Genomic DNA, 13,474 nt, shown 5'->3' on the forward strand with positions numbered 1-13,474 from the left:
TTTTTTTTTTTTTTTTGAGATGGGGCCTCACTATGTCACCCAGGCTCACTGCAACCTCTGCCTCCCAGGCTCAAGCGATCCTCCCACCTCAGCCTCCTGAGTAGCTGGGACCACAGGTGTGTGCCTGTTTTTCTGGTAGAGATGGGGTTTCACCATGGTGCTCAGGCTGGTCTCTAACTCCTGAGCTCAAGTGATTCACCTACCTTGGCCTCCCAAAGTGTTGGGACTACAGGCGTGAGCCACCACGCCCAGCCGCCATTCTTTATCTGTAAAACTGACACTGACTTTTCCACAGAACACATATTTTTAAATTGTTTTCAAGTAGTATATAATACAACAAGTTACATACATAAGTTTTTCTTGTATCCAAAAATACAGATTTAAACTAACTATCTGGGGTAAGGGTATCATTTGTGGTTATAAATATTAATTTCTATATAAGGATAATTGACCTTTAACAGAATCAAACATGCCACAATGTTTAGCCTACAGGCCTAACAAAGAAAAATCTTATTAGGGCCGGGTGCAGTGACTCATGCCTGTAATCCCAGCACTTTGGGAGGCTGAGTCAGGCAGATCACGAGGCCAGGAGTTCGAGACCAGTCTGGCCAACATGGTGAAACCCCTTCTCTGCTAAAGATCACAAGGTTAGGAGTTCAAGACCAGCCTGGCCAACAGGGTTAAACCCCGTCTCTACCAAAGATACAAAAAATTAGCTGGGCATGGTGGCATGCGCCTGTAATCCCAGCTACTCGGGAGGCTGGGGCAGGAGAATCGCTTGAACCGGGGAGGCAGAGGTTGCAGTAGCCGAGATCACACCACTGCACTCCAGCCTGGGCGACAGGACGAAACTCTGTTTCAAAAGAAAAAAAAAAGAAAAATCTTATCAGATAAAGGCTTGGAAGATATTATACTAGAAGGGTACTTTTTTTTTTTGAGACGGAGTCTCACTCTGTTGCCCAGGCTGGAGTGCAGTGGCATGATCTCAGCTCACTGCAAGCTCCGCCTCCTGGGTTCACACCATTCTCCTGCCTCAGCCTCCCTAAAAAGGGTACTTTTCAAAGGAAAAAAATTTCAAATTTTCCCAGTAGTTTTCTGATCCATTTCTTTTTTTTTCCTCATCTGAACTAAACTTCTTAATTCAGATAAATGAAGATTAAAGGGAAAAGACAGAAAAAGAAGGCCCAAGTTTGTTAAAGACTGAATCACTAATTTTATAAGAAATGCATTTTTGTTATTTTTACATTAGTTGAGCAAAAACTAGGCTAATAAATATTGTCTGATACTACTAGATTCCATTTAATGATAATGGTTTACAGGCACTAATATTCCCCTAACCTTCTTTTTACACTATTAATTTTCTCGGAAACTTAAAACAGAAGTAAAAATGTGTCAACTCTTGTGTATCAATCTCCAAATAATAAAGTCATATTTTAGTCTTTAAAAGAACTGATTCAAAAAGAACAAAGATCAAATAAAATTTATTTACCTCAACCAATATACCAACAAAAGGGATAGAAGCTTCTTCATATTTCACAAAGAATACACTGGGATTAGTCTTCCAGACTCCAAGCCATTTGTCTTTCAACTTTAATTTTTCTGATAGGTATTTACCCATAACTTCATCAGCATCTTCTGCCTAACAAGAGAAAAAATGGATCTACATATAAATATATGAAATTATAGATTTTAAACTAAGTGGTTTTTTTTTTTTTTACTGATTTCTATTTTAAAATGGAACCAATATAGCCTTAAATAATGAATGACCTGGAAAATTACAGATTTTAACTGAAACCGCATCTAGTGGAAAACATCACCAACAAAAAATTAAACTTAAAAGAGATCTATTCACTCGAATAATTCATAGATAAGACAGCTAGTTATTGTTTATGTCTTAATTTTCAACTTTTTATAAATATCACTGCAGTGAATATGCAGGTACACAAATTCTTCTGCTACAACTTAAAAAAATAGGTTAGAAACATGAAATATTTGCTCTATTCCGTTTTATCAGATATGTATTTTCTATAAAAGAAAGTCATGCCACCAGGCACGGTGGCTCATGCCTGTAATCCCAACACTTTGGGAGGCCGAAGCGGGCAGATTACCTGAGGTCGGGAGTTCGAGTCCAGCCTGACCAACTGGAGAAACCCCATCTGTACTAAAAAAAAATACAAAATTAGCCAGGCGTGGTGGCTCATGCCTGTAATCCCAGCTACTCGGGAGGCTGAGGCAGGAGAATTGCTTGCACCGGGAGGCGGAGGTTGTGTGAGCCGAGATTGCCCCACTGCATTCCGGCATGGGCAACAAGAATGAAACTCCGTCTCCAAAAAAAAAAAAAAAAAAAAAAAAAAAAAAAAAAAATATATATATATATATATATATATATATATATATATATATATATACACACACACACACACACACACACATTTATATATATATATACACACACATATATATCATGCCGCATTGTGGACTGCTGAGTGGGAAGTACCCTTAAAGTAATTTCTAGCATTCTAGTGTAAAAGTCAAGGCTAAGTGATCTTACTCATGTTTGGACATAAACTGTTAAATAAAGGTACCAAGATTCATGCCTGTGCAATGATAAGGCCAATATATCTTCATTTTTTAGGAGCTCTCAGAAAATTCTCTCTCAGGGCTGTCCCGTTACCTGACGAATTTTGTCGGAAACTCGAACCTTAACTCCTCTAGGGCAGGACGCGGGCACCTCTAACAAGGTGAACGCTCTATACATGTTGACTCCATTTACTTTTTTGAAACGCAAGTTTTCGTTGTGCCCTGTGGATCCCCATCCGCCTAAGAGGGAAGCCCCAGATGCCTGTCCCCAGGTTCCGACGAGCTTCCGACCGTAGTCTTCCTGTCCCGGATCCGCTCACCTTACAGTCCTGCAGCACTTCGTCGCAATACAGCGACACCTTCTCGTCCCGCCACATCCCCCTCATACGGGACACGCAGACTGGGGGCAGGGGCTGCGCCTCCTCTTCATCCTCAGGCACTGGCAGCAGGGGCTCCTCCGCCGCCGCCGCCGCCGCCTCTCCCGTGTCCTCGGCCTGAGCCGCGGGCAGGCGCTGGAGCCGCAGCCTGGCCGTCTCCCGGCCCGCTTTCCCCTTCACCGGGCGAGGGGAGGCCACCACCGACCGCACTGGGATCGCGGTGCCCTTCAGGGTGGTCGCGGCCGCCGTGTCCCCGGAGACAGCGGAGGCGGACTTCTCGCCTCGCCTGTCCGGGCTGATGGTGCGGAATGAGTCCGCGGGCACCGAGGCCTTGGAGCCCGACGCCATCTCCTCAGCAGCCCGAGGGCCGAGGCAGCCGTTGGCCACTTTTCCCGCCCTCGGCCGCTCTGGCCAATAGGCGCTCTGCGCTTCAGGCCCGCAACGAGCGGCTGCTCGAGGGCGTCCCGCCGGGTGGGGTGTTGCGGCTCTGGGAGGGATGTGAGGCGCGGCCCAGAGCTAGGGGGTGCGGGGCCTGCGGGTAGAGCGCGGGGTCCTGCGGACGCATTCAGGGTGCTGGGGGGCGCTGCTCAGAGCTAGGTGGGACAGGGCGAAGCGCCTGGGCTCAGGACAGGGGTGGGGGGGCCCGGGTCAGTGTTGGGTGCGGCTCCGTGCCGAACCCCCACCAGGTGCCGCACACACCAGAAGGTGCCAGACGAGCCCAACGCAATGGCTCTAACCCCAGCCCTCTGTCTCCCCCAGGGGAGGTTTCCTTAGGGTCCTCATACGTTTCAGGGTGATTATGAGTCACCTTCCAGGTCATCAGGACCTAAAAAAATGCTCCACCTACCACTCCACAAACAAAGCCTGAAAGAAAATTTATTTTCATACTGGGAGGTGACACTAACTGGAACCCTCTGGCTATTACTAGAGGAAACCCTAGTGACAAATCCAGCAACCTAGATTTCCCTTTTAGCCCCCACCTATTACAGGGTTCACCAAATAGGATTTCCTTTACATTTTAAATAGGACTTTCACTTTTTGCCAAGATGTGGTCATACCAAGGAGAAGTTAGTCTGTTTTCTTGTCTCTGTTGTGCTATTCAAAATTCTCACATAAAAGATTATATTATATAACTGTTAAACTGGACAACAACTTCCAGCTGGGAGTGATGTGTGCAAACTATGAACACTTTCACGATAAAAGTCTGTTCCAGATCATACATTTTGGAGAACAACAGAGACCACTCACTTCTGGTATTTTACTGTTGAATGTATATTGAGCCAATTGGAATTAACGTTTGTTCACAGTCTAGCTGTGAAATACTGCACTGAAGCTGACAGCTCCCAAGGAGAACAGCATTGGGAAAACACCTGCCTTCCTTCACACTCGTCTGGAAGAACACTATGTTAAATTCTGAGTTTATTTTGAGGAAAATATTAACATCATGTGGCTGGGCGCGGTGGCTCACGCCTGTAATCCCAGCGCTTTGGGAGGCCGAGGCGGGCGGATCACAAGGTCAGGAGATCGAGACCATCTTGGCTAACACGGTGAAACCCCGTCTCTACTAAAAATACAAAAAATTAGCCGGGCGCAGTGGCGGGCGCCTGTAGTCCCAGCTACTCGGGAGGCTGAGGCAGGAGAATGGCGTGAACCTGGGAGGCGGAGCTTGCAGTGAGCCGAGATTGCGCCACTGCAATCCGGCCTAGGCTAAAGAGCGGGACTCCGTCTCAAAAAAAAAAAAAAAAAAAAAATTAACATCATGTTACTGTAGTTTAGGGAATAATTACAACATGCATCATGTTTCAATTCTATTCTTACTTTATTCCTTTCGTTGAGTCCTGGACTTTGTTTATAACAATACTAACTGCATATTTCACTCACACACACACACACAAATGTTTTACTCTAGTGTTTCTTCAAAAGTTTGTTTTTGATAAATTATGGGTTTTTTAATTCTTAGGTTCTGAATAATAAAGACCACCTGTCCTGGGCCAAAGTTTAAAAACAGCAACAGCTCCCTTTTCCTCCAAAAGGCAAATACTTGTTAGAAATCTGTTACATGCCACACAATGCGTAGATGCCACAGTTATAGAGGTAAAAGACCAAATCCCTGCCCTCGTAATCCTAGTGAAAGATACAGATGGGTCAGTAGATGATTGTGTTTGGTAAGGACCATGCTTTTATTTATGTAAATACACATAAATACATACATATATATATTTATATACACACAAATAATTTGTATTTATTTATGTGTGTATATATATGCGTGTGTGTGTGTGTGTGTGTGTGTATATATATACACATATATTCCACATTGTAGGAGAAAAGGACCTTTCTTCTCCAAAGAAGGGATACTTAAGCTGAGTTTTTAAAACAACTTTTTTCTTTTTTTTTGCCTCCCAAAGAAATTTAGCTTGTTTCTCCCACCTCCTGTCTCCTCCAGGATGCTTTGACAAATGGAATACCACTGTCCCTTTTTCCTACAATGACTCCCTTCTCCCAACACAGAGCTCCCAATGCCCAGGCTCAAGATCGGCTTTCAGTTCCACCCATGGCCACTGCGTTTCTTGGTCATTCTTCAAGGGGTCTTTGTGTTCTCAACCTTCTGCCGCAATCCCAAGTGGAAGCTCTGTTGGCTCGCCCTCTAGTCCTCTTCCTGCTGAGCCAGTCTTCAACTAGGAATCACACCAGAGTCACCAGGACAAGGAAAGCTAGGCCCATCTGAAGGAGATTCTGGGCAGTGTGGTCTCAGAGGGCACAGTCTTTCTGGAGTCCCGTCTCTGGTTAAAAGGTAGGTGTCCCAAGAGCCAGAAGAGGTGGGGTCTGCTGGTGTTCTCAATGTCACCTATGATCAGGAGCTTTGCCAGTTCACTGGGGAAAGACCACACATGGTTGTTATAGGAGCCAAAACATCGGTATGTCCCTCTGTGGGTTGTGGTCACAGGACCAATGGGGAACTCCGCCTGGACATTCCCATATCTGCACTGTGTGCGGCTGGATCTTCCCTCCTGTTACCACCAGATCCAGAGTCACTGGGCTCCGACCAGAGCTCCCCAGCCAGATAGAAGCAGCTGTATAGCCCTGCTGTGCGGAAGGTCATGAGTAGGATGTGGAATTCAACTTTGTTAATCCATTCAGGGGGTTTTGGTCTCTCCATGGCAGAAAGGCTTCCTTCAAAGTACAGCTGGTATTCAACAGCCTCAGAATCTCCCCAGTGACAGATGGTCACCGGCTTTTCATTTGGATTCATGAACTGGGTTCAGCCCAGATGATGGGTTTTGGGAGAGTCTGCTGCTGAGCACTGATCCTCTGGCTCAGACACAGCCAGTGGCAGAGCAGGGCAGGGAGTGCAGAAGGCATCACTCAGATTCTGCCAGTCGAGTGCCAAGCAGTGGGGTGGGGACTGAGCCCAGCAGGCCAGGAGATGCACAGTATGTGGTAGGTGAGGCCCAGCGCCCATCACCACGGGGCAGCTTTCACCTTGACTTTTTTCACAAGAAGGTTCACAGCTCCTCTCCACCTCTGACCATGAGTCTACAGAAAGGCCATGGTCCCTATGACACATCTGACCACAGCTGTGGTCTAGCCAGCTCCTCTGATAATTGTCTGCTCAGCCTGAAATGCATTTCTGGGTCAACTTCTCAATTCTGCAATGTGGAAGTCATGCCCAGGGCATGAGTCAGTATTCAGACCCATGATACCCCCTGAGAATCATATAAAAATATAGGGAATTTCACAATGAGATACCATTACCATCTCACACCAGTCAGAATGGCTATTACTAAAAAGTCAGAAATTCACAGACGCTGGTGAGATTGTGGAGCAAAGAGGAAGGTTTACACACTGTTGGTGGGAGTGTAAATTAGTTCAGCCACTGTGGAAAGCAGTTTGGAGATTTTTCAAAGAACTACAAATAGAATTACCATTCAGCCCAGCAATCCCATTCCTGGGTATATATCCAAAGGAAAATAAATAATTCTACCAAAAAGACACATGCACTTGTATGTCCATTGGAGCACTTCACAATAGCAAAGATATGGAATCAACCCAGGTGCCCAACAGTAGTGGATTGGATTAAGAAAATGTAGTACATATACACCATGGAATACTATACAGCTGTGAAAAGGCACAAGATTTTTGCAGTAACATGGATGCAGGTGGAAGGCTTTATCCTAAGCAAATTAACACAGAAGCAGAAAACCATGTTCTCACTTATAAGTGGGAGCTAAACACTGGGTACATGTGAACACAAAGAAGGGAACAACAGTAACTGGGGACTCCAAAAAGGAGGAGAGAAGGAGGGGGGCAAGACTTGAAAAACTATGTATTTGGTACTATGCTCACTAGTTGGGTGACTGGATCATTAAAAGTGCAAGCCTCAGCATTACATAATATACTCATATAAGAAACCTGCACATGTATCCGCTGAATCTAAGAAAAGTAAGTAAAAATAGGGACTTTTTAACGGTGGATCTTCTGTGTACAGCATGCACATGCTTGGATAAGTTAATTGGTTTTATCAGAATGGAATGATAACACTATCTTCTTCAATGATTTGTTATAATATTTCAATAAAATAAAATAAAAGTGAAAAGAAAAGCTTCCCACTTAAAGACTTAATAAGGGCTGGGCACAGTGGCTCTCACCTGTCATCCCAACACTTTGGGAGGCCGAGGTGGGCTGATCACAAGGTCAGGAGTTCAAGACCAGCCTGGCCAATATGGTAAAACGCTGTCTCTACTAAAAATACAAAAATTAGCCAGGCGTGGTGGCGGGCACCTGTAGTCCCAGCTACTCAGGAGGCTAAGGCAGGAGAATCGCTTGAACCCAGGAGACAGAGGTTGCAGTGAGCCGAGATCACACCACTGTACTCCAGCCTGGGAGACAGAACGAGACTCTGTCTCAAAACAAACAAACAAACAAACAAAACAAAACAAAAAAAAAACCTAATAAGAAAAGAAACATTTCTAAGTAAGTAACTAACTCTCCACTTAATAAAAAAAAAAAGAAAAAACTCTCTACTGAAGTTGCGAAGATCTACGGTAAGAACAAATGTTCTATCTGTGAAATTGTGAAGGAGAAAAAAGTAATTGGTGCATATGTAGGGTATGGTACTATGCACGGTTTCCGGCATCCACTGGGGCCTTGGAATGTATCCTGGTGGATATGGGGGACTGCAAAGAAATGTGCTAATTCAAAACAGTCAGCAACATTGGAGAGTCTCCCTGCAGGTACAAGAGGATGGACTGAGTGAGAAGTAGATTTCCCATTTACTCTTGGGAGATGAATAACAATAGCAACGATTAGAGTGATAAAAGCCCAACAGCAGAAAGGGATTCCTCTCTCTCTCTCTTTTTTTTTCCAAGACAGAATCTTGCTGTGTCACCCAGGCTAGAGTACAGGGGCGCAATCTCGGCTCACTGCAACCTCCACCTCCCTGGTTCAAGCGATTCTCGTGCCTCAGCCTCCCGAGTAACTGGGACGATAGGCATGCACCACCATGTCTGGGTAATTATTGTATTTTTAGTAGATACAGGGTTTCACCATATTGCCCAGGCAGGTCTCCAACTCCTGAGCTCAAGTGATCTGCCCGCCTCGGCCTCCCAAAGTGCTGGGATTACAGGAGTGAGCTACTGTGCTCAGCCTGATCCCTCTCTTTCTTCACCATCAAACTACTCTGTGCTGTATGAGAAGAAAGGGGTGGAAGAGTTTTTCGCACTCTTCCAAGTGGTCCTGAAAAGTGAAGCATGCACAGCCACTGTCCCTCTTCTTGACAGAAAAGCCTTGTCTCTTTCTCACTCCCCAAATTTGGCTTGACTCTCATGGTGTAGTCAACTTCTTGAAGATTGCAGGATAAGATGCCAGGCAAGACGAGGGTTCAAATACCAAGTCTCTTTTTTCAGTGCCTTCAACTCTTAGCCCCAAATTCCAGAATGTCTTTCCTCCATCTAGCCAGTATCCGTCCATTCTATTTGTCTAGATAGTCCCTACCCAAATGTCCTTATAACATTTTGAGGGATGGCATCATTCTCATTTGTCTATAACATCTTGCCTAGAGCCATCGGTTTTACAGGCTGTACAGGAGGCACAATGCTGGCACCTGCTCAGCTTCTGGGGAAGCCTCAGGAAACTTTCAATCATGGCGGAAGGAAAAGAGGAAGCAGGCACATCTTACATGGCTGGAGCAGAAGCAAGAGAGCTAAAATAACTTTTATTGCTTTTTTTTAAACCTCTGATCTTTTTATTAGCCTCCTGCTCCCCAAAGAGTATCCTGCTTCTGCCAGTTTAATGTCTCAGAACTTTGGTGTCGTTGGTCTCAGACACCACTTTGCCATCCACTATCCAGCGGGTGGTGGTCTTTTGGATGGTTTGCACGGACTTGCTCCTGTCCAGGGTATCACCAAGATTGAAGTCCTTGCCATCTTCCAGCAGGCCGCAGTAGGTGGTGATCTCAGCCTCCAGCTTGACTTTGATGTTCAGCAGGGCCTCATACTCCTGGGCCTGGCGCTGTCCCTCTGCCCAGGTCTGTGCTAGCTCTGACTCCAGGTGCAGCAGGATCCCATTGAGCTGCTCCATCTGCAGGGTGCAGTGGGCCTCCGCCTCCCTCAGGCTGTTCTCCAAGCTAGGCTTCAGATTTCTTATGAAGTCTAGGTTGATCTCCAAGGACTGGACTGTATGTCTCAGCTCCATGAGCGTCATCTCAGCAACTCCAACCTCAGTGGACTGCATGGTGACCACTGTGGTCCTCTCCTTAATCTGCTGAGACCAGTACTTGCCCAGCTCTTCTTGGTTCTTCCAAGCCAGCTCGTCATATTGGGTCCAGATGTCTGCCATGATCTTGGCAAGGTCCTGAGATTTGAGGGCATCTACCTCCAAGGTCAACCCAGAGCTGACAATCTGGGCTTGTCGGCCTTTTACTTCCTCTTCGTGGTTCTTCTTCATGAAGAGCAGCTCCTCCTTGAGAGCCTCGATCTCTGTCTCCAGCTGCAGCCGAGTGACACTGGTGTCATCAATGGCCTTGCGGAGCCCCTGGATGTCACTCTCCACAGACTGGCGCATGGCCAGCTCTGTCTCATACTTGACTCTAAAGTCATCAGCAGCAAGATGGGCATTGTCGATCTGCAGAACAGTGCAGGCATTATCCACAGTATTTGCGAAGATCTGAGCCCTCAAATCCTTGATGGTCTTGAAGTAATGGCTCCAGTCTCTGACCTGGGTCCCTTCTTCTCCAGGTGCTCCCGGATTTTGCTCTCCAGCTTCCGGTTCTTGGTCTCCAGGCTCCTCACTCTGTCCAGGTAGAAGGCCAGGTGGTGGTTCAGGCTTTGCATGGGCTCCTTTTCATTCTGGATGCCTCCCATTTCTGCCAGACCCCCAGCCATCCCCGCGGCCAGGCCCCCGGACCCCATGCCGCCCTGGAAGCTGGTGGAGCGGGACATGGAGATTTGGGAACCAGAGCCCCCGACGCCTGCATAGACGCTGGCTGTGCTGCTGACTGGCGGAGGGCCATAGCTGGGCGCCTGGACAGAGCCCAGGGACTGGTAGTTGGTGGAGGTGGAGCGAGTGGTGAAGTTCATGCTGTCTGCAGAGGAGAATAAGAAGACAGGACTCCGGCTTTGCCGACGACCTACTTTTTACTAATTATGAAAGCAATGCCTCTACCCTGAGCCAATTTGGACAATACAGAAAAGCATAAGAAAGAAGAAAACTTAAATGAACTGTAATTCCAATGCTCAGCAATAACTACTACTAGATTTTGGTATATTTTCTTTTAGTATTTTTTTTTCTATCACACTATTACAAAGTTTAGATCATATTAAATTTTATAGTTTGTTTTTCTATTTAGATAAGCATTTTCATATCATTAAAAATTACTTAAACACATAATTTTCAAGAGTGGCATGTAATTTCTTGGTATAAATATAATTTGTATAACCTTATATTTTCAAGCATTTGGGCTACACTAATTTCTATAGCATCAACTATGCCATTTTGAATATCTTTGTGCATAAGCTTTTGCTTATATTTCAGATATTCCTCTAGGGGAAGGTGGGATTACTGAGTCAAGATGTAGAAACATTTTAACGCTCTCAGTATTGCCAAGCCGTTTCCCAAAAAGAATGTAATTAATTTCTACTTCTGTTAGCAGATAAAATTCCCAGGTGGGCTGAGTTATGAAAGAGAAGGAAACTATAGGCACCTAAAGCAGGGACAGAATGCGGGGATGGAGTAAGGTAAATATTCTAAGCAGAGAGAGTAGTTAGTGGCTTTATCCAGGGGTAGAAGAACTTGGTCTAGGTAGCTGAATATAGCAGGAGTAGAGGACAATTTGGGACAAAAACTCAGGCTGTAGAGATATGCATAAGCCATGTTACAAAGAGTCACCTAAACTGGCTTTAGGTAAAAAGTTAGGACCAAAATTAAAACAAACTGAAGAATCTCGTTGGCAACACGCTTGAGATTCTGCAGAGGAGAGAGAATAGCTCATTTATTTTACAGATATGTATTGAGCACCTATTCTGTGCTGGCATGGTATTTGGTGCTGGTGCTGAAGACAGACAATAAACATGATTTTTTACGTAAAATTGTCAAGAAAATAAAAACACATATCTACCCCAAAACTTGTACATTCACATCCATAGCAGAATTATTTATAATAGCTATAAAGTGGAAAGAACTTAAATGTCAATCAACTGATAAACAGATAAATAAAATGTGGTATAGCCATACAGTAGAATACTATTTGGCTATTTAAAAAGGAATAAAGTACTGCTGATACATACTACAACATGGATGAACCTTGAAAACATGCTAAATGACAGAAAATGAGGTCACAGAAACCCATATAACATATGATCCCATTTATATAAAATGTCCAGAATAGGCAAATCAATAGAGACAGAAAGTACATTAGTGGTTGCCTAGGGCTGGGGGTTGGGGGTTGCCAGGGAAGAGGGGCAGAGTTTGAAAAGGAATGGGAGCTGACTGCTAATGGGCCCAGGATTTCTTTCTGGGGTGATGAGAATGTACTATAATTGATTGTGATGATGACTGCCCAACTCTGAGAACTGAAACCATTGAATTGTATGCTTAAATGGGTGAACCGTATGGTATGTGAATTATATCTCAATTTTTAGAAATAAAATTTATGGCACATTATGTGACAGTTAGGTGCTATGGAGAATGATAAAAATATGGAGATGGATAGGGCAGAGCAGGGATGAGGACATTTTGGAGAGTAGGCCCGGGATATAATTTTTGTACAGAGCAGAGAGGGAAGGTCTCACCCGTAAGATGATGTTTGAGTAAAGATCTGAAGGAGGTCAAAAGGAAAATCTTGGACTTTGACAGCTGCAAAATAAGGAAAGTTTTTTCCATCACCAAGTCATTCCCAGGGTACAGTTCAGTTATAAAGAACATAGATAAATTAGTAGTAACACAGTTTTAGGAAGTCTTTAATACTAACACATTATTTTCATATTTCCCTATGTAAGAATAAATAAGGCTCACATCAGTCAGAAAACACTAAATAAGTACACTGGGGATTTAGGTATTTTGGAAGTTTTGTATGGTGGAGATTTGGTTTGTATTATTTTGGAGGTGCACACCAGGATGCTGTGAAATGTAATTGTATTTCTTTTTCCTTTTGTTTTCCTCAATTGAAAAAATAAGTATTAATGAACACTTCATTCGGCCATTTATTCACAAATAATTTTTCTCTCTTAGAACACTAATTTTTTTCCTCCTCAACTCTTTGACATTAACTTTGTAAACCACAAAAAAACTAAACAAACAAACAAACAAACACTTTGGAAACAAATACTCAATGGCAGTAAGAAACACAACAGTTCTTTGAAGCCTGTACCTCCTTATTTTGACCAGAGGAGAGCACTAGAGAGCTTTCGGGCTATTGAAGGGCCCCCCCGCAATCCCAAAGGGCTGGGTGGAGCCTGAAGCATTCAGCCAGGCATAGCTTTAAGTCCTGACTCAGAAGACAACAGCACAGCACTTTGCTAAAGGGCAAGCTCGGACACATTTCCGTAACATATAACACTTCTTTCACCTCAGACGTGATGTTCTGCTAAATCTTCAACATTTCATAATGTGTACTAACCCCTTGATACTTGTTTTGTGTTCTGCTTTTGTTTTCAGCTCTTTGGGAGGTAAACAATGATTTTAATTTCATTTTACATAAACCACACAAAAAAGAAAGAATCACCATACATGTTTAAGGGCACATGAACTCCACTAAGGAGAGGCAGTACTGGGTATGGACAAGACACAACCTAAAACTTCCGACTAAAGCTACCCTGGTGAAAAGCCAATGGCCCAAACTTGTCTTAACTATCAGAAGTCTTAGGTTTCAATTTTGATAGGAAAAGACACTAAGAATAACATCAGCTAATTAGCCTACAATTTGAACAGTGTATAAATATCTAATAATGGAGCAGACACTTAAAATGTATAATAACTGGGGTATCAACGGCAGAAGACAACAGACACTCTCAACCACTGTT

General features: G+C 44.2%; 1 protein-coding gene and 2 pseudogenes across 2 annotated transcripts in view, besides 3 other annotated features; all 3 read right to left on the minus strand.

The window, feature by feature from the left end:
* The window catches only part of SHCBP1L (SHC binding and spindle associated 1 like), a 53,302-nt gene extending 49,964 nt beyond the window's left edge, over positions 1–3,338 (minus strand). Inside the window, exons 1-3 of one of the 2 annotated variants that reach the window (NM_001345928.2) lie at positions 2,901–3,338; positions 2,109–2,161; positions 1,490–1,639 (exon numbers count right to left, since the gene is read on the minus strand). In NM_001345928.2, the coding sequence (NP_001332857.1) occupies positions 1,490–1,639; positions 2,109–2,156 (198 nt within the window). In that variant the 5' untranslated portion in view covers positions 2,157–2,161; positions 2,901–3,338. The remainder of the gene's footprint in view (positions 1–1,489; positions 1,640–2,108; positions 2,162–2,900) is intronic. The other variant, NM_030933.4, reaches the window with a different exon arrangement.
* LOC100271717 (natural cytotoxicity triggering receptor 1 pseudogene) lies at positions 5,362–5,970 on the minus strand (annotated as a pseudogene).
* Positions 7,731–8,241: an enhancer, noted in NCBI's record as "OCT4-NANOG-H3K27ac-H3K4me1 hESC enhancer chr1:182926694-182927204 (GRCh37/hg19 assembly coordinates)". NCBI's record gives its function as "activates a minimal SCP1, AML or CMV promoter by ChIP-STARR-seq in naive and primed H9 embryonic stem cells {active_cell/tissue: H9 hESC(naive and primed)}" and the evidence as "EXISTENCE:reporter gene assay evidence [ECO:0000049][PMID:30033119]".
* Positions 8,242–8,753: an enhancer, noted in NCBI's record as "OCT4-NANOG-H3K27ac-H3K4me1 hESC enhancer chr1:182927205-182927716 (GRCh37/hg19 assembly coordinates)". NCBI's record gives its function as "activates a minimal SCP1, AML or CMV promoter by ChIP-STARR-seq in naive and primed H9 embryonic stem cells {active_cell/tissue: H9 hESC(naive and primed)}" and the evidence as "EXISTENCE:reporter gene assay evidence [ECO:0000049][PMID:30033119]".
* On the minus strand, positions 9,191–10,584 carry KRT18P28 (keratin 18 pseudogene 28; annotated as a pseudogene).
* Positions 12,746–13,040: an enhancer, noted in NCBI's record as "tiled region #8189; HepG2 Activating non-DNase unmatched - State 4:PromP, and K562 Activating DNase unmatched - State 8:EnhW". NCBI's record gives its function as "activates a minimal TATA promoter and a strong SV40 promoter by Sharpr-MPRA in HepG2 cells, with weaker activation in K562 cells {active_cell/tissue: HepG2 | K562}" and the evidence as "EXISTENCE:reporter gene assay evidence [ECO:0000049][PMID:27701403]".

This window comes from Homo sapiens, chromosome 1 (genome assembly GCF_000001405.40).
Source record: "Homo sapiens chromosome 1, GRCh38.p14 Primary Assembly".
NCBI lineage: Eukaryota > Metazoa > Chordata > Mammalia > Primates > Hominidae > Homo > Homo sapiens.